General features: G+C 39.8%; 1 long non-coding RNA gene across 1 annotated transcript in view; it reads right to left on the bottom strand.

Annotated features, from left to right (window-relative positions):
• Positions 1 to 1,006: 1,006 nt before the first annotated feature.
• LOC107986905 (uncharacterized) overlaps positions 1,007 to 19,632 on the bottom strand; it is a 33,147-nt gene continuing 14,521 nt past the window's right edge. Inside the window, exon 5 of the long non-coding RNA XR_001745742.1 lies at positions 1,007 to 1,161. This is a non-coding gene — a long non-coding RNA (uncharacterized LOC107986905). The remainder of the gene's footprint in view (positions 1,162 to 19,632) is intronic.

Genomic DNA, 19,632 nt, shown 5'->3' with positions numbered 1-19,632 from the left:
ACTCTGGGTGGTATATACTGTCCCTTCAAATACTTGGTTATCCTTTAAGGTATCTGTTCCAACGCCACCCTTCTTTCACTTTACACCTTGGAAAAGCTGGATACTTCTAAATTTGGGATTCTCCAGAACATCTTACACATTTTGATTAGACTTGTACAACATATAGCACTTGTATCATTTCTTCCCTGTTTTATGTGTCTTTCTTCCTACTTTGCTGTTTTTAGGTGGGTGGGTAGAGACAACATTTTATTGTATTTTGCTTATTCGTTTTTCACTGATTTTTGTTCACAGCACTTGCAAAATATCTCACACATAATAATGCTTAATAAAAGGTTTCTCAATAGGCTGGCTTTGTATCTAAAACTTAAAGAGTTAGAACATATTATTTTTTAAATTTTTTCCTTCTATTCATCTTCTTCTTTAAGACTAGGTCAACAAGGGTCATATTATCATCGTTCTGTACATATTGGAAGTGCCTAATCCTCTACAGAATAAGAGAACATTTATGGTCATTTTTCCACTTGACCAGTATCTCAGTCTAACCGTTATTAATGGAAGTGAGATAGAGAAACTCAATTAGGATAAGAAAGAGATGATATCTCTAGCTCAAGAGTAACATCAAGAATAACTTAATTGTGTTAAACTTTTATTCTTATGTCTCTAAGCTATAAAGAGCTCCACTCAATATATTATTTTCCTATTCTTAGCTTGAGAAATTATACTTCATTTTAATACCTAATTTAGTTTCATTTCAAATTTTCATTAAAATGCTGCAGATTCTCTTCCTCTGTTAATGCAGATAATCTGTCTGGACCCCAAACTATCCCCATCAGCACGTACTTGCTGCCAGACATTTTTTTCAGCTATATAAATAGTCATTTTATTACTAATCATATAATAGAAATATATGATTTACGTAGGCAGAGCATAGTGTTTCATTAAGATAAACTAGAAAAGTTTAGACCTTGAGTTAAACCCAGGGTAATTACTTCGTCATTACCTTGCCCACAGTTCTTTCATTTCCAGCTGTTTGTTATTGGTCAATTCTCTGCTCTGTTTCCTTTGATGAAATTTATGGTGGTCCATCAAATAGTCTTCAGCTCTCTCAGAAAGTGATTCTCTCGCATGTGTGTTCTATTTCCTCCACTTGAATATATATACCTAAAATAGCAGTGAAAATAATGAAATACAATACAGAATAAAGGTTTATGCTTTAGATAACTTAAGACCTCGGTTTAAATTCTGTGTGTGTGTGTGCGTGTGTGTGTGTACTCATATAGTTAGCACTAAATTGGCACCAAGTTTGCCAGTGAATTAGTCTGTTTTTATGCTGCTGATAGAGACATACCCAAGGCTGGGTAATTTATAAAGAAAAAGAGGTTTAATGGACTCACAGTAAGGTGAAAGGCATGTCTTACATGAGGATAGACAAGAGAGAATGAGAGCCAAGTGAAAGGCAAAACCCCTTATAAAAACCGTCAGATCTCATGATACTTATTCACTACCGCAAGAACTGGGAACTGCCCCCATGATTTAGTTAACTTTTACCGGGTCCCTCCCACAACACGTGGGAATTATGGGAGTTACAATTCAAGATGAGATTTGAGTGGGGACACAGCCAAACCGTATCAGCCAGACATTATGTTAGGCACTGAAAAAAGGCAGTGAGTTGATCCTCTACTGCCTGAATGCTCCAGCAGAAAAGGAGAAATGTAAAGCTATTTTGCAATTGAGTGTGAATACTGTTGTATTAAATGTGCAAAAGACATTTCAAAGGAAATGTGCAGTTTTTGCTGAAAGATGAATCAAAGAAGCCTTCTCAGAGAAAGGAAGAAATGCAGTCTAAGAGAATGAGAAGGATCTGTCCCTTAGTGGGGAGCAAGAGGTTTTCTCAGCCAGGGGAAGTAGAAAGCTTTGACTCCTGGTTTATGTCCCACTTTTAGACTGTCCCAACACTGTTGAGGCAGAGCAATTCTAGACTCAGACAGTCACAATGCTCTGAGCTCCTATCACATGGCTCCAGGAGAGGGTGGATGATTTCTCCAAGCCTCTGTGTAGCAACGACACAAAAGCACAGGTGGAGGGAGTCAACATGGATTCATTACTGACCAGTGACCTTGACAAGAATTCACAAGAGGGATGACAGCCCTCCTTCCTTCTCTAACTTTCACCCCCAAGGTCTTCTTTATATACATGATTTTCCTGAATTTACTCATGTAACTTCTCCTGCCTAACCTGGATGTTTTGCCCTTTTCCCCTGCCATCACGTCTGCTCTTAGTCTATACTTCCCATTGACTGACATCTTCAGAAAAGTGGAGGAATAAGCCCCAGTGTGTATTTAGGGAAAGGAACACTGAAAAATGAGTGGGCCAGAGCATGAAGCCCATGTCAAGAGGAGGTAGATATCAGCACAGAAATGGCAATAGTCTTAGTGGCTCAAAGGCCTGGGGTGCCAGACTAAGTCCCTGCTTCACACCACAAACAGTGGAGAGCCACTGCAGGGTTTAAGCAGGAGAGGTGTTGGACACATTTACTGGAGATGTTGCCCCTGCAGGCTGCTTGATGGATGTAATGGAAGGGATAGCTTGCACTCAGGAGGACTCAAAGAAGCCTGTGGGATAACTTTACTTGAAAAACCTGGAGAGCTAGGCTTTGACTGTGGGACTAAATAAGGGAAACTTATCTAAATGCTAAAGGAATAGCATATCCAAGATTAAGCAGCTGGGTGTGGGGAGCAGTGCAAGTGTCTTTATCTCAGTTCCCTTCAATCCTCTTTGAAATCAGAAAATATTTGCTCAACCACAGAAGAGAATATGAACATGAATGAATATTACTAAGGGCTGGAAGCAGAAAAGATAGATTAGAGAGCCAGCACTTACTTTTATCTTTTTTCTTTTTTTTTTTTTTGGTCAGATTCTCGCTCTGTCAACCAGGCTGGAGTGCAGCAGTGTGATCTCTGTTCACTGCAACCTCCACCTCCTGAGTTCAAGCGATTCTCCTGCCTCAGCCTCCCAAGTAGCTGGAATTACAGGTGTGCACCACTATGTCCAGCATTTTTTTTTTTTTTTTGAGAGATGAGGTTTCGTCTTGTAGGCTAAGCTGGTCTCAAACTCCCGACCTCAAGTGATCCACCTGCCTCGGCCTCCCAAAGTGCTAAACTATAGGCATGAGCCACTATGCCTGGCCCTCAGCAGTTACATTTCATAGTGGATAAAACCTAAATAAAGCCCATGGCTTCCATTGTGGTTTTTCTCTACCATCTTCTGTAGAAAGAAGGCAAAACAAGATTCACCTCAGGTCAACCATTTGAAGACTAGCTTGTGAAACTAAAGGAGGCAATCATATTTAAATTTTGAAGCAACCTTTGATGATCAGGCTGAACTCTCCAAAATAGCATCTGGAGGAAGGCAGTTGGAGTTCTAAATCACAGACTTAAGCAGAGTGACTGAGACATTTTCTGAGTTTGACTTTAGAGAGCTAGTCCTACTACATCCTTCCTCCAACCTCGTTCCACAAACACAGCCTTTGGTAGGAGGAAAAATATCAATGTCCTGGGACTCTTGGTTGTACATTGCAGACCTCCAGGCTTGCCACATTTAGGTGAGTTGGCAGGTTCCTTTCTGCTGTGGACATGAAGGTTTGCAGCAGCAACAGCAGTTGGTGTCCAGGCGCACAGCCAAAAACAATCCAGATAACAAGCATTATATTGCCCTTACTTGTGTCTTAATTAAAAGGGATGCTATTTAAGAAGTGCTGCACTAGTATGAAGGACTCAGGAAGGCTGAAATCTGTTGTTTTAATTATTTCATATCTTCTTGATCAATTGTATACTACCAAACATAGTACACAATTGGTCAAGGATATATGGAGTTAACATAGAACTTTTAGACCAATAGAGGACCTTTGTGAGAGTGAAAAGGGTCATTCTTAATAATTATACTAGGATAAGAGGCATAAGCAGACCTCTCTTAAGCAGGTTGGAGCATATGAAATCTTATAAACAGCCTGTTTATAAGATTTAATGCCATGACATTTCATTAAATGATGGAAAATAAATAACAGGCATTAAGAAAGGATTTTTAAACTGTTTGTTTATTTCCCACTCTAGGCCTTTGTATGTTGTCCTCCCTCCCTCCCTCCTTCCCTCCCTCCCTCCCTCCCTTCCTTCCTCTCTAACACACGGTGTTTATATTAACCATCATTATCATAACCCCTGTCATGTAAACTGCAATCAAAGACGTGTTATTGTTTCCTTATTTCCTCTTTTGGTTGGGAAGGGAGTTTTGTTTCCCAGGTCAGGTCATACCAAACAACTCTATATAAAAGATATTCCTCAAAAGGCATCAACAAGAGAGCAATTGCTCAGTTAGAAAAAAGGTTGATGTAAGAAACTCCTGTGGAATCAGAAGTCAGGTTATGGCTTAAGGGATTGAGGCATTAAACAAAACACTGGGCTGGATGATAGAGAATCCTGAGAAACTAAAATTTTCTCCGAAAGTTAAGAGCTAAGACTCTTTACACCTTTGTCACCCAACGCCTTAACACTCAACATAACCTGAACTCCTATTCAGTAGTATCGTTTAGATCCCAAGTCTGTTATAGGACCAGGCCTAATGGAATGAACATGACACATATAGGAATATGAAGGAGTTTGGCTGAAAACCCAGCTTCACCACTTTCTAGCTATATGACTGGAAACTTATTTTATTTCTTGTTCTTTGTCCTAAATGGGACTAATAATCTCATTCCCATCTATCTCATAGGTATGGAGTAAAGATTTATGGAAATAGTAGCAATCAGTAAAATAAAACCAATAATTGTTCTCATTCCTTTAGTGCTTAGCATACATATGTGTAAGTGCTAGTTAAGTACTTTGCATATATTACCTCATTCAGTCCTTACAAAAATGTTGTGAAATAAATAGCATTTATTTATAGATTTATAGGTTTAAAAAATCAGTCACAAAAGGGTCAACCTAAATTTTTCCAAATTCACCCAGAAATTAATGGTAGAGGTAGAAGTCAAATCTAACTTTTTCCAGATTCCAAAGCTCATATCCTAGCTATGGATGAGAAATGACTTAAAATAATTCTATGGATTATTACTAATATGAATGCCTTCTTGTATTTGTTGTTTTGCCCAGGGATCTGATGTTGCTTTCATGAGTAACCGATGCCTATGACACTGACAGTTCTTTGGTGTCCCTTGTACCATTTAAAAAGGTACCTAGTTTCTTGCTATATAAATGTAAACCCTCCATTATTGTGAGGGAGGCATTCTCTGTTAAATTAAAGTTAAATACACAGAAACTCAGAGAGGTTGTAATATACCTGAATGCTCAAGCTCTATAAATAGTGGGGATGCATGAGGACCCAAGGCAAGTTTTTTTCATTTTGGCATAGTACCCTGCATAAAATGATAATTCATCAAATATTAAACTTTATTATTACTATAGTAAAAAATAAACGGATAAAATCAACATGAAGAAAAGAGTTAAGAATGGCACCGTATTTACATTGTTTATAAATTTTTAAAAAATAAGTCTTTAGAGACACAGAGGTACAAATGTTCTTTAGAGAGTTGAAAAACTAAGACAAAAACACACGTGTAAGATAAGACAGCCCCATCAATGTAGATTTAAGTGACACTTGTTACCAAATGGCTTCCCTGGGGGACAGAGAGATTTCCATGAGTGAGCTTTATATTAAGGAATTCTTATGATTATGGAATTAATGACTGTGAGATAAAGATTTAAAAAGTATGTTCAGGCAGGAGGAGAAGTTGAACTTCAGTGCAGTTTCAGTGCATTCCTCAGCCAGCCCCATGGAAATCTTAAACCTCAAATGATCATTTAGAGTTGTTCCAAGATGAGGTAAGGAGGCTCAGCCACTATACTTCCATATCTAAAACTCACTGGAGGCAGGTCACTTTGGGAAGGAAATATATCTTTGGACTTGAAGTTGAGGAATTAAGTCCTTCATTCTTGAAAAAAAATCTTGACTTCACATAACAACGTGATATCTGAAGGTTAAATACTACAACCTGGCCTCATTTGTATCACGATACTATTAACCCCATCTCTAGGAGTGAGTTTCATTCTTCAATGCCCTTTTTGTAGCATGTGCCTGACATAAAGAGGAAAGCCATTACTGAAATGCTCAGGGTGGTGATGTACTTCCTATTTGTGCATTCTTTATTATTTTGGTAAATGATACGTCTTCCAGGCTCTTCTGTGGAACATAATCATCTGTTAGGGGTCAGGGAGCAATGGTGGTTCCAATATTACACAATACATGTTCTTAATGATGCCTACTTGTATCATCCTTTTTATCCTATCTAGAACCATCTGCAATGCAATTCAGGCATTTCAAGATACTTATATGAGCCACCAATTTTACCATGCATCTAGAACTACCCTTGTAGCATGTTTGCACTATCTGCTGGGGACTTTGCCAAGATATTAAACTCTATGACTTGGAAGAGTCTTCCCAAACTGGTAAATTCCCCTCTATTTAATCTTAAATTCTGCACCCTATCTTTTTATAGCACCCTCAGAATCCAAACCCATGTGACCTTTGCCAACTGCTGTCAGCGGGTGTTCGTTAGGTCCTACAGTTTATTTGATGCATAGCCCCTTTCTTCCTTTACAAGGACCAATTTGTCCCATCAGAATATGTTGTGACTTAACCCTAGTTATTGGCCTAACATCCAGGAGAGGAGTTGAGGGAAGATCTACATGGAGGACATGTTGTCCTTCTAGGAAGAAGTTTCTTATCATCTTCAAGCAATAGGACAGTAGGTACTTCTGCAGGATCAGAAGATTCAGGGGAACATACAGATTCAAAACTTTTTCATGCATCAGCTAAGATGTATCAGAATCTCATTCTTTCATAACCAGGATTCTGGAATGGCATAAAAGATGTTCCTAGTTGGGAGCTTATTTTTGGAGTTTGACTACTCCTACAATTAAGCAATTAACCATGTCCGCAGCTTTCTCTGCCATACAGCTGCAGGAGATGAGATCCTCTCTATGTGTTCCAAAGAGACCCTCTGGTTTTCAAATTAAGCTCTTACTTGCTGATCAAACAATCTCAACTTCTTATTATTTATTTTTTTAAGCAAGACTTGGGCTTAGCTATAGATTCCCAATTTCACTGTTTTCATAGTGGCTATTTTCCCCATATTTTTTCAAATAACATATTTATTGTACCAGATAATGAATTGCTTTCTAATGGCATGCCATTCCACTTCAACACCAACAAAACCTTTAATAAATGCACTGCTACTTTTTGTAAAGTCCTGATTTGTGATGGGATCCTCATTGTCAGCAGAGGGTAGGTGCTACAGCTCCAACTCTTATCCCAGGATCAGCTTTCTCAGATCATTTCCAGCGCCAGTTGTGGATTTCTTCAGAAGTAGACTGTTACATAGACATTAGCATGCAGAAAGATTATTAGGTAGTATTTCTGGGATGAACTACACTCATGGTAACTGAGAAAGCAGGACTGGGTAAAAGGAAATGTGAATTTATGAAGTAATCTCATTGGAGGTCTCAATCTAAGGGAGATTCTGATGCTTTGATGACCCTTCAGAGTTGTTCTGATTTGGGATTGGGGGAGCTGTTACTTTTATCTTCACTCCATCAGTCATTAAATATGGTATGGCCAAGGAAGGTGGCGTGATTTTGAGAAAGCTTGTGTTCTCCATCTGAGACAATTCCCACAGGGGGCTGACAACACATAGCTTTCCACGGACAGCACTCCCAGAAGCTGAGGGACTAATCCTGTCATTCCTGAAAGAAGGATCTGGATGGCACATCAATGTTCATTTCCATATCCCAGATGATGTTAAAACTGTGGTTCAATGCATTGTTATTTCTAAGGCTGTGCTGATGACTAATTTAAAAGGACTCTCCTCCTCAGATTAGAAACCATTAAATATTAAAAGAGATATTCATTTTTTCCCATATCTACAATTATATTAACTTTGTTTTTCTTAGCAGGCTATCTGTTTCATCCCAAATTACATGAAATTTTCAACAAGTTGATAAAACTCACTATTGCATTGTGATGACATTTTGGGAACAATTTTACTTTATACTGCTACCTCTTCCACTGACCTCCTTAATTCATCAAAGAAGGCCATTGAGCCATTATTCTTGGAGTAAATGCACCTACATATTGAATATTCCCATCTGTGCAAATAAGAAGATAATGCTTTCCTTCTTCCTAAAGGATGAGATACTTGCTTCAATAACTGACCCAGAGCCATATAATTAAGTGCTTGTGGATCATTTATATATGAATATATTAGCCCATTTAGTCCTTAAAACTTCTTCATGTAAGCATTTTATAGATGAGAATTTGCCTCCCAGAGAGGTGACTTTTCCAAAGGGGAAATGAATAGGGATGTGGGGGGAAGATCAAGATTTAAAAGGAAAAAAAAATATGTTTAATGTTAACTCCACAGGAAGTGTGGAGGTTCCACAATGCATGGAGGTTCCATAGCGCTTGAAGTCTTTGCAACAGCGTCAGTGGCATTCCCTTCACACTGAGGAAAGACCTGATGGCTCAGAGTCACGTAGAGCAAAGATTTGAACCATATTCTCTTTCAAATTTCAAAACCCAAATTCTTTCCACTCTATTACACTGCTTTTATTTTTAGAATGTTTGTGAAAAATGCTAACTTTCCGTTCCTTAAATAAAGTTTTAATTATAATCACAACAACAATTACAGCTAAAATATGTTATGTGTTTACCATGGGCCATGAGATGTCTGAGTCTTCCAGAGAGGAACAATTGGAAGAAGAACACCTCTCCTTTTGTTTACTGAATCTAGACAAATTAAAAAATATCTTTTCTGGCTGGGTTCAGTGACTCATGCCTGTAATCTCGGCACTTTGGAAGGCTGAGGTGGACGGATCACTTGAGACCAGGAGTTTGAGACCAGCCTGGGCAACACGGCAAAACCTTGTCTCTACTAAAAATGCCAAAATTAGCTGGGCATGGTGGTGCACACCTGTGATTTCAGCTATTCAGAAGGCCGAGGCATAAGAATTGCTTGAACCCAGGAGGCAAATGTTGCAGTGACCCAAGATTGTGCCATTGCACTCCAGCCTAGGTGAGAGAGTGAGACTCTGCCAAAAACAAAGAAAAAAAAAAGTCTTTTCTCACAGTAGTTTATGATTGTCTGTGGGCCAGATTATACCATGTCATTGCAGAATAGCCTAATAAGTCTAATTTCCAAACCACTGAATCCCTGGCATATAGAGGTGGCCTCAATATAGAGAATCACTGCAAAGTGGCCACCTAGTGACAGGAGGTGCTAATTCATTTCCACGGCCCTCTACCTGCCTTTTCTGACTGATAATTATCAGGCGCATCTCCAAAGAATGTAACTCTTCCTTAATGATCCAGGGACCCCACTGAAGATGACAGGGTAGTACTGTAAGCATCTGGAAAAGATATAAAATATGTCTTTCTTGCACCTCAATATTTTATATAAGACAGGGGTATACATGTTCTAGAATATCACACATTCCTCCTTAATTTACTATGAGAAAAAGAAAGCTCGCTATGTTTTGTTTTCTATATTTCATTATCTTTTAGCTTTTGATTCTGTGGCCCTTTTTCTGGGCATTTTAACTCAGCTTTTACTCTATCAATAGTTACCTGGCATGTTCTGTGTTACACATGACACTTCCTTCCCATTGATCACATTCACCAATGCCAAAACATGACCATGTTGTATTCACTGACTTATCTCCAGGGCTGAACATAATACCCAGTCAAGCTGAAGTGAATCAATTCATTTCTCAGTTCAAAATTCTTACGTGGCTCCTGAGATCTCACCTTCTAGAATTACCTCCCTCTCCCGTATGTATCTTACATTGCTGTAAAACTCTTTGTCTGATACTTAAACTAATAATCCTTATCAGTCAGGCGTCAAACAGAGAAGCAAAACCACTACACTAAGACACACACACACACACACACACACACACACACACTTATTTGTTACAGAGAATTTGGCTTATGCTATTGTGGGTCTAGTTAAGTAATCTCTATGAGCAGTTTTCCTACAGCTTAAAGTCCACAGGCAGGCAGGCAGGAAGGGAATATGTTGAGCAGGATGAAACCCTTTGAGCATAAACTGGACAGCACACAAATAGACTGAAATTTGTATCTATTCTTGTTGCCACTGGTCTTGGCACATGGGTATCCTGAAGAAACCAGGGTCTCATCATCATGGAGGTAAACACACATAGATAGGAGCCAGAAAAGCTGAATGAGAATCCAGGGAAGGTAGAACAATTGCAAGCCAAAATACTGCTTCATGCCAGTGAAGTGAGTCAGCAGATCAGTAGCAAAACTGGCGAGAACCTCTGTTGTGGCCCCATCTGACTGGGAAGAATGTTCTAGGAGATGTATTTTAGACTACCCTAGTTTTTGCCTTAGAGAATCATCACACATCATCCTACCCCACTTTCCTTCAGTTTTCAGTGACTGCTTACTTGTTTATAGAAGAATCCACCTAAATTCCTTATCTTAGTATCATGTTTTTGTTATTAAAACTCTACGGACTACAGTCTTTATCGCCATCCACTATGTTGCCCACCATTGTCCTGGTGCTTATGTTCATTTATTGTGTGGTTTGATTGAACACTTTTTATGTAGCAAGCTTTATTCTAGGTCAGAAAGCAGGGTGGGCAGAGCGTAGCCCTAAATACGTAGACAAGGTGCCTAATCTCGTGGAGCTTTTATTCAGCAGGTGGTGGTGAAGTCAAGATAATGTTAAAATAATTTAATAATCAAACAAGCATTACTCTTTGCTCCAGTAATGCAGGGTTACTTGTAGATCCCAAGATATGCTGGGATTCCTTACACATCTGTTATTTGCACAAATGTGAGCCTCTGTCCTGTCTCTCTGCTCGGGAAGCAATAATGTGGAGACAAGTTACAAAAAATAAATGGGGTGTACATTTGGCACTTGAGGAGAGGAAGATAAATGCTTTGTTGGGAGGTGGTCAAAGCTATTGGTGAAATGACTACCTTCTGTAATTCTTGAGCACCTGGCTGTTCCTCAGTTTGTATGGCAAAGCAGCTTATGGCAGTTGGACTGGAAGTGTAATTGAGTGGTCCTCTTCTGGCAGCATGGACAGGGAGCCTTTCCAATACAAACAGTAGTGCATTTCAACAACCGATGCCTCTGGTTACAGAGAGGCAGCACAAGGAAATTATCCTGTCTCTGGCTAAACTGTGTAGGTTGCACTGTTGCCTCTATCATTTACTGGCTGTGTAACTGAGCAAGGTGCTTCATGTCTCTGAATCTGCCTCAAGAGTTACGAAGTTTATATGAGAAAATACATGTGATTCACAGAAAACTATGTATGTTATGTAGTACATTCTTAGCAAATGGTAGCTTATCTTCACCTTTATAATATATTCAGAAAATACAGATGGGAATTGTTCATGAGTTAGGGAAATTTATTTTCTTCCCTGCAAACATTCCAAAGAATAAGAGTAGGTAAAGTCAAATTTTATTTTAAATATGTGTATTCTTGAAGGTTTGCATTTCTGGGTAAACTGTGCTGAAAAATGTGTTTGGGTCTGAGGATAACCGGAATATCATATTTTTCTCCTTACAGTAAAGGTGACAGAGGTTAAAGGTAGGGGCAACAGAGCTGGAGAATAGCTGTCTTTTTCAGGTGGGCCCCTCTTGTCTGACTTCTGCTCTAAGTCATAAAACTCAAGGTCCATTTAGACATAGGAGATTTTGAGAAAGTGACTCACAAGAGGGATAGAGGTTTGGGTAAAGCAGACTTGGGTGGGGTCTAGCTCCCATGAATGAAGGTCTCATGGAAACAAACAAACAAACAAACAAAAACTGGTAGTGAAAGCCAACATGCCCAGTAACTTCAGTGACATTGACTTAGTTTCCCTTTCTGGGAGTGTTTAACTTTAGACCCCTGTAAGAAGGTAAAACCAAGATTCAGATCTGTGCTTTCCTGCTGGATTTTAAACCTTGTATTTCCAGAGCCTGCAATACACTACCATAGAAATTCCCCACATGACCTGTTGCTTGTCATTGCCTGCCACTCTTCAACTCTTTGCAGCTCCTCCTTCATCCAGCTGCCCAGATGCAACCCATTGAGTCGCAACCAAGCTTCTTCAGTCAGCAATTTCTCCACCGGTCCCAGGTCTTCAGGTTTGACACTCCCATTACAACCAAAATTTCCTCAGACTTAGATCGGGGCTCAGTGCACAATTCTCCCAGGCCCTTGAATTGATGCATCCTGGGAGAAATTACTTACCCAGTCCTACCACGGCCTTGTTCAGTTCCTAATTGTGGAATTCCTTCAATGTAGTGATATTGTCTGAACATCATGCTCTCCTGGAATGCTACACCTTTGACATCCATATTTCTAATATGATCAGTTTCTAAGTACTTCAGTTTTTATTAATGTAAAACAAAGACTGCCAAATTTAATATCACATTTCTCATTAACAAAATATAAAGTTCTACATAAACATATCTCAGCTTGTTAGACTCATACCTCTTACTGCACCCTACATTATTTCCCACTTTGTATGTGGCAGAACACAATATTCAAAACGCCAAAAAGTATCTTCTGTTCTGAGAAATTACTGGTGAGATTTTAGTGCACTAAGACATTCCTATCTAGCACTGGGACTTTAAAGTCAAGCTTTGGAAATTATGCTCCTGCTGATGGCTTCAACCTTCAGGCATGAGACTGGGGAACTTTGATGGGGAAAAGCAAAGGAAGCCTCAGTCTTATTAACCTATGCTTTCATGTCCCCAGAAGCAACCTCCAGGCCTAGTTGCCACAGGAAGCCCTGGCAACTTTGGCAGGAATGAGACAACAGTGCTCTAACACTGGATGAATTATGGAACTGCCTTGTCAGCTCAGAGGAGGCTATATATTCCAACTGGACTGTCCTGGTTTCTGAGTAGCTGTTCTAAGTGGACAGGATTATGGGAAATGTTCCAGAATGGCCATATTTCAAGGCCAGTCTAACGGGAGGAGGCTGCTTTGATGTGAATTAGGGTGTCCCAAACTTAGTAATGTATGCACAGTCTTTATGATGCTACCTAAATTATATTCCTCCTTACTTTACTGACATCTTAGTTAAGTGTTTTTTATTAAAAGAGTATAAACTTCATCTTATCACTGTGAATGGAAAATCAGTATGACTGCCATGAAATACTTGTTAAAAAATTAATAAACATAATGAAAACAACAACTGTTATCATTTAAGATTATTGATATAATTAGAATGATCCACCATATTTGTAACTGTTTTCTGTTCATCATATTTGTTTGTTAGTTTGTTTCAAGAATAGTCTTATTGAGATGTAATTCATATACTGCACAATTTCAACATGTTAAGAGCTTGGAATTCATTATTCATATTCTTAAAAGAAAAAACTGAAAAACTGATATTAAACAACTTTTGCTGGACTTATCAGAGAACTGGGGTTGCATGACAAACCGCCACCCTGGAATGCATATAGACAGGTAAATTTAAAGAGGGATACCTGAGATTTGCTTACCTAGAACAGAAGATGCTGGAGCCATAAGCTGTTTAAAAAAACACTTAAATAGTAATTTTGAAGAATTGCTGATGTCCAAGTTTAGACAATTGTGACAATGAGAAATTATTGAGGGTTACTGACTCAGGAAGATCACCACACTTTTGTAAGTTCTGACAACAGGAATGCAGCCAGGTTCTCATAGTGAAGAAGCCAAACAAACTCGCTTGTGACTCTAGGATGGGCAGACGAAGGCCAATTCTTGGGAATTGTCCAGAGTATTATCCATAACAAACGCCCATTTCTAGGTTATAAAACTTTACCAAAACCTTATCTCACCTAAACATAGAGCATGTCTCCTGCTCCAGATCCCTCAAGACATCCTATCTCATATCAGGATGAAAACAAAAGTTAAGAAACATGTGTAAAGGTCACAGGCCAGGAAAATTGGCTTACTAAAACAATTAGTTAATCAAAAGATTATAGAACCCTTCTTCTCTCCAGTTTACCACCACACCAATAGGACTTCAGTATATTCACAGGGGATAAACCAGCTGAAAGAGCTTCAAGACACACACTCTCTGAGGAAAAGTATTTAGGGAAACCCAACATCAAGAAGAGAGACAAAAACAAGAACACTAGAGGAATTAGAAGGCTCTAATACCTCAAATAAAATAAAAATTAAACATAGTTCAATTCTTAGCCATAAATCCTCACACTAAGGGCCAATTAACTTTGGTTCCTAATAGCTGGTATGTCATGTTTGCTTTCAATAAAAAGTCAAAAGTCATGCCAAATGACAAGAAAAACAATAACATGTATGAAGTGACAAAGCAATTGTCAGAACCAAACTTCGATCTGACACAGATGTTGGAATTATCAGACAGAATATTAAAAACAACTCTAATTAGTGTGCTAAGGCTTATCAGTAAAGGTAGACAACATAAAGTAACAGTTTGGTAATGTTAGCAGAAATTTAAAAATTAAGAAATAATTAAAAGAAAATGTTAGAAATAAAAAAAACCCACTGTATCATAAGTGAAGAATGTTTTCAATGCGTTCATCTGTAGACTGAACATCACCAAAGAAAGACTTAGTAAACTTGAAACAGGTTGGTAGAAACCACCAAATTAAAAGGCAAACGGTAAGAAAGAAAACATAACACAAAACAGAACAGAACATCCAAGAACTGTGTGGAAATTTTAAAAGGTATAACATATGTCTAATTGAAATGCCTGACGAAGATAGTGAACAGAATAAATGTTTGAAGCAAAGATGACCAAGAACATTTGAAAATGTAAAACACACACACATTCACACACACACATACACACATGCACACACATACACACACACAGAGAGAGAGAGAGAGAGAGAGAGAGATTGAGAGAACTGAGAGAATACCAAGCAGCAGAGATAGCAAAAAAATTATACCACGGTATATTATATTCAAACTGCAGAAAAGCAAAGGCAACCAGGCATGATGGCTCATGCCTGTAATCCCAGCACTTTGGGAGGCTGAGGTGGACAAATCACTTGAGGTCAGGACTTTAAGACCAGCCTGGCCAACATGATGAAACCTCATTTCTACTAAAAATACAAAAAAAAATTAGTTGGGCCTGGTAGCAAATGCGTATAATCCCAGCTACTCTGGAGGCTAAGGCAGGAGAATTGCTTGAACTTGGGAGGCAGAGGTTGAAGTTAGCCGAGATGGTACCACTGCACTCTAGACTGGGTGGCAGAACGAGACTCCATCTCAATAAAAAAAGCAAAGACAAAGAGTACAATTGAAAGGAACCAGGGGAATCCAGGGGTTACAGTGGAGGCACAACTTACCTGTAGAGGAACAAGAATTAGAATTACAGAGGGCTTGTTTTCACAAATGATGCAAGCAAAAAGACACTTCATTAAATATTTATATTGTTGTTAGAAAAAGAAAAACCCAGCAATCTATAATTTTACATTCAGTAAAATTAGTGAAAAGTGAATGAGAAATAAAGACTTTTGTGGACAATTTTAAGAGAATTCGTTGCTGAAAGATCTTCTCTTCAAGAAAGAAGAAAAAGTTCTTCGAGGAAAAGGAAAATTATGTAGGTCAGAAACACAAATCTGTATAAAGGAAGAGTATCAGAGAAAGAAAAAAATAAAGATAGGAGCTTGCTCTGCAGGCAGAGCAAGATGGCTGAATAGAAGCCTTCACTGATCACCCTCCACTCAGGCACACCAAATTGAACCATTATCCACACAAGAAAAGCACCTTCATAGGAACCAAAAATCAGGTTTGTAATCACAGGACCTAGATTTAACGTCATATCACAGAAAGAAGCACTGAAGTGATAGGAAGGAAAGTCTTTATTTGCAGCCCTCATTCCCCAGCAGCAAGTATGTGGTGTAGAAAGAGAATCTGTGAGCTTCAGAAAGAAAGAACATGGTGATGGGTGGACTTTGTATTGGAACTCAGTGCTGCCCTGTCACAGTGGAAAGCCACAGCAGCAGAACTCAGCTGGTACCCATTGAGAAGTATTTAGACCAGCCCTAGCAAGAGGGAAACCACTCAACTCAGCAGCTGAAACTTGAGTTCCGGCAAGCCTTGCCACCACAGGCTAAAGTCCTCTAAGGTTCTAAGTAAATTTGAAAGGCAGCCTTGGCCACAAGAACTGCAATTCTTGAGCAAGTTCTGGTGCTATGCTGGGCTTAAAGCCAGTGAACATGGAGGGCATGTGACCCTATGAGACATCAGCTTGAGTGACCACAGGAGTGCCTGCACCACCCCTTTCCCAACCTTAGGCAGAGCAGCTCACAGATCTGGGAGATACTGCTTTCCTTTTCTTGAGGAAAGGAGAGGATATAGTAAAGAAGACTTTGTCTTGCAACTTGGATACCAGCTTGGCTAGGGCACCAGATAGAGTCAAGAGGCCTGCATTCCAGGCCCCAGCTCCAAGATGACATTTCTAGAAACATCCTGGGCTAGAAGGGAACCTACTACTTTAAGGAGAAAGACACAATCATGGCAGTATTCATTATCTGCTGATTAAAGAGCGCTTGTCCCCTGAATAATCAGCAGAAACACCCAGGCAATACTTGCCGTGGGCCCTGGGTGACACTCAGAGACTATACGGCTTTAGGTGTGACTCAGCAAATTCCCAGATATAGTGGTTACAGGGAGAAACTCCTTAGGCTTGAGAAAAGGAGAGGGAAGAGTAAAGGGGACTTTGTCTTACAACTTAGGTATCAGCTTGGACATATTGAGTAGACCACCAAGTGGGCTGTTGGCATCCCTACTTCCAGGCTTTGGTTCTTGGATGGCATTTCTGGACCTGCCTTGGCTGAAAGAAAGTCCCCTGGCCTTAAGGAAGAGTCTTAGGCCTGGCAGCATTCACCACAACCTGACTGAAAAGCCCTTGGATGTTGAGTCAACATCAGTGGTAGCCAGGCAGTACTTTCCATAGGCATGGGGTGGTAATGGCCATAAAAAGAGACTCCTCTGCTTGTGGAAAGGGAGGGAAGAGTGGAAAAGACTTTGTCTTGTGGCTTCATGCCAGCTTAGCTGCAACAGAATAGCCTACTAGCTAGATTTCTAAGATTTCCATCTCTAGGTAGGCAGTGGTTCCAGGATATCATCTATGGACTTAACTGGCGCCAAGGAGAACTCAACCACCAGAAGGGAAGGATAAAAGCCTGCCTGACTTTGCCACCTGCTGATTGTAGAGCACTAGCGTCTTGGGCGAACATAGGTGGTAGCCAGGAAGTGGTTACTGTGGGCCTTGAGTGAGACCCAGTACTGTGCTGGCTTCAGGTCCGACCCAGCATAATCCCTGTGGTGGTGGACACAGGTGTGGTTATGTCACTCTTGCCCTAGCTCCAGCCAGTTCAGCACAGAAAGAGAGATTTTATTTGTTTGGAAGAAAGTGAAATAAGAGAGCAAATCACTGCATGCTAATTCAGAGTATTCTTTCGGCTGTTATAAAAGATCACTAAAGTAGGATCTCTACATGTCTGTAAGAGCTACAGCATCACTGGGCTTGGGGTGCCTCCTAATGCAGATATGACTTCATAAACCAAAAATTTTTAGATTACAACACCCAAGTCCATTGAAATACCTGGAAACCCTTCCCAAGAAGGATGGGTACAAACAAGGCCAGACTGTGAAGACTACAATTCACGCTTAACTTTTCAATGCCCAGAACCTTGCAAACATCCACAGGCTTCAAGATCATCCAGGAAAATATGACTTCACCAAATGAACTAAATAAGGAATTCAGAATTTTATCAGACACATTTAACAAAGAGATTGAAATAATTGAAAAGAATCCAGCAGAAACTCATGAGTTGAAATATGCAATTGATATACTGAAGAATACATCAGAGTCTCTTACCAGCAAAATGTATCAAGAAGAACAAAGAATTAGTAAACTTAAAGACAGGCCCCATGCAAGTCTGACATGTAGCAGGGCAGTCAAATCTTAAAGCTCCAAAATAATCTCCTTTGACTCCATGTCTCACATCCAGGTCACTCCGATGCAAGAGGTGGGCTCCCATAGCCTTGGGCAGCTCCACCCTGTGACTTTGCAGGGTCAAGCCTCCCTCCCGGCTGTTTTCATGGGCTGGCATTGAGTGTCTGCAGCTTTTTCAGGTGCATAGTGCAAGCTGTTGGTGAATCTACCATTCTGAGGTCTGAAGGATGGTGGCCCTCTTCTCACAGCTCCACTAGGAAGTGCCCCAGTGGGAACTTTGTGTGGTAGCTCCAACCCAACATTTTCCTTCTGCACTGGCCTAGCCAAGGTTCTCCCTGAGGGCCCTGCACCTGCAGCAAACCTCTGCCTGGACGTTCAGGCATTTTATACATCCTCTGAAATCTAGGCAGAGGTTCCCAAATGTCAATTCTTGATTTCTGTGCACCCTGAGGCTCAACACCACATGGAAGTTGCCAAGGCTTGGGTCTTACACCCTCTGAAGCCAGGACTAAGCTGTATCCTGGCCCATTTTAGCCATGGCTGGAGCAGCTGGGATGCAGGGCACCAAGTCCCTAGGCTACACACAGCAGAGAGTCCTTGGGCCTTGCCCACAAAACTATTTTCTTTCTCCTAGGCCTCTGGGCCTATGATGGGAGAAGCTGCCTTGAAGATCTCTGATATGCCCTGGAGACATTTTGCCTGTTGTCTTGGTGATTAACATTGGCTCCTCATTACTTGTGCAAATTTCTGTGGGCAGCTTAAATTTCTCCCCAGAAAATGGATTTTTCTTTTCTACTGCATTGTTAGGCTATACATTTTTCAAACATTTATGCTCTGCTTCCTCTTGAACACTTTGCTGCTTAGAAATTTCTTCTGCCACATACCCTACGTTATCTCTCTCAAGTTCAAAGTTCCACAGATCTCTAGGACAGGGGCAAAATGCCACCAGTCTCTTTGCATAGCAAGAGTGACCTTTGCTCCAGTTCCCAACAAGTTCCCCATCTCCATCTGAGCCATAAAAGAGAATAAGGTCCTGCCATTTGCAACAACACAGATGGAACTGGGGATCACTGTGTGAAGCAACATAAGCCAGGCACAGAAAAGCAATCATTGCATGTTCTCACTTATTTATGGGAGCTAAAAATTAAAACAATTATACTTACGGAGATAGAGGGCAGAAGAATGGTTACCAGAGGCTGGGTTGGTAAATGGGTACAAAAGAAAGTAGAATGAATAAGATATAGTATTGGGCAGTACAACAGGGTGACTAGAGTAAACAATAATTTATTATAAATTTTAAACAACTTAAACAGTGTAATTGGATTTTTTTTTGTAACATAAAGAAAGGATAAATGCTTCAGGTGATGGGTATGCCATTTACCCTGATGTGGTAATTATGCATTGTATGCCTATATCAAAATTTCTCATGTATTTCACTAATATATACATCTACTATGTATCCACAAAAATTAAAAAAGAAGTATACATTGACTTAAAATTAAAAAATGAAGGCACAAAGTATTTAATTTGTCCAATAAATATAACTAAAAGATACTTTTTTTAAAGTAATAATAACATGATTGCATTGGGTGATTTCAGCATACAGGTAAGTAAAATAAATGG

Source organism: Homo sapiens, chromosome 8, assembly GCF_000001405.40.
Source record: "Homo sapiens chromosome 8, GRCh38.p14 Primary Assembly".
Lineage (NCBI taxonomy): Eukaryota > Metazoa > Chordata > Mammalia > Primates > Hominidae > Homo > Homo sapiens.
The sequence above is the reverse complement of the archived record's forward strand: the minus strand, read 5'-3'. Positions and strand labels throughout refer to the sequence as shown.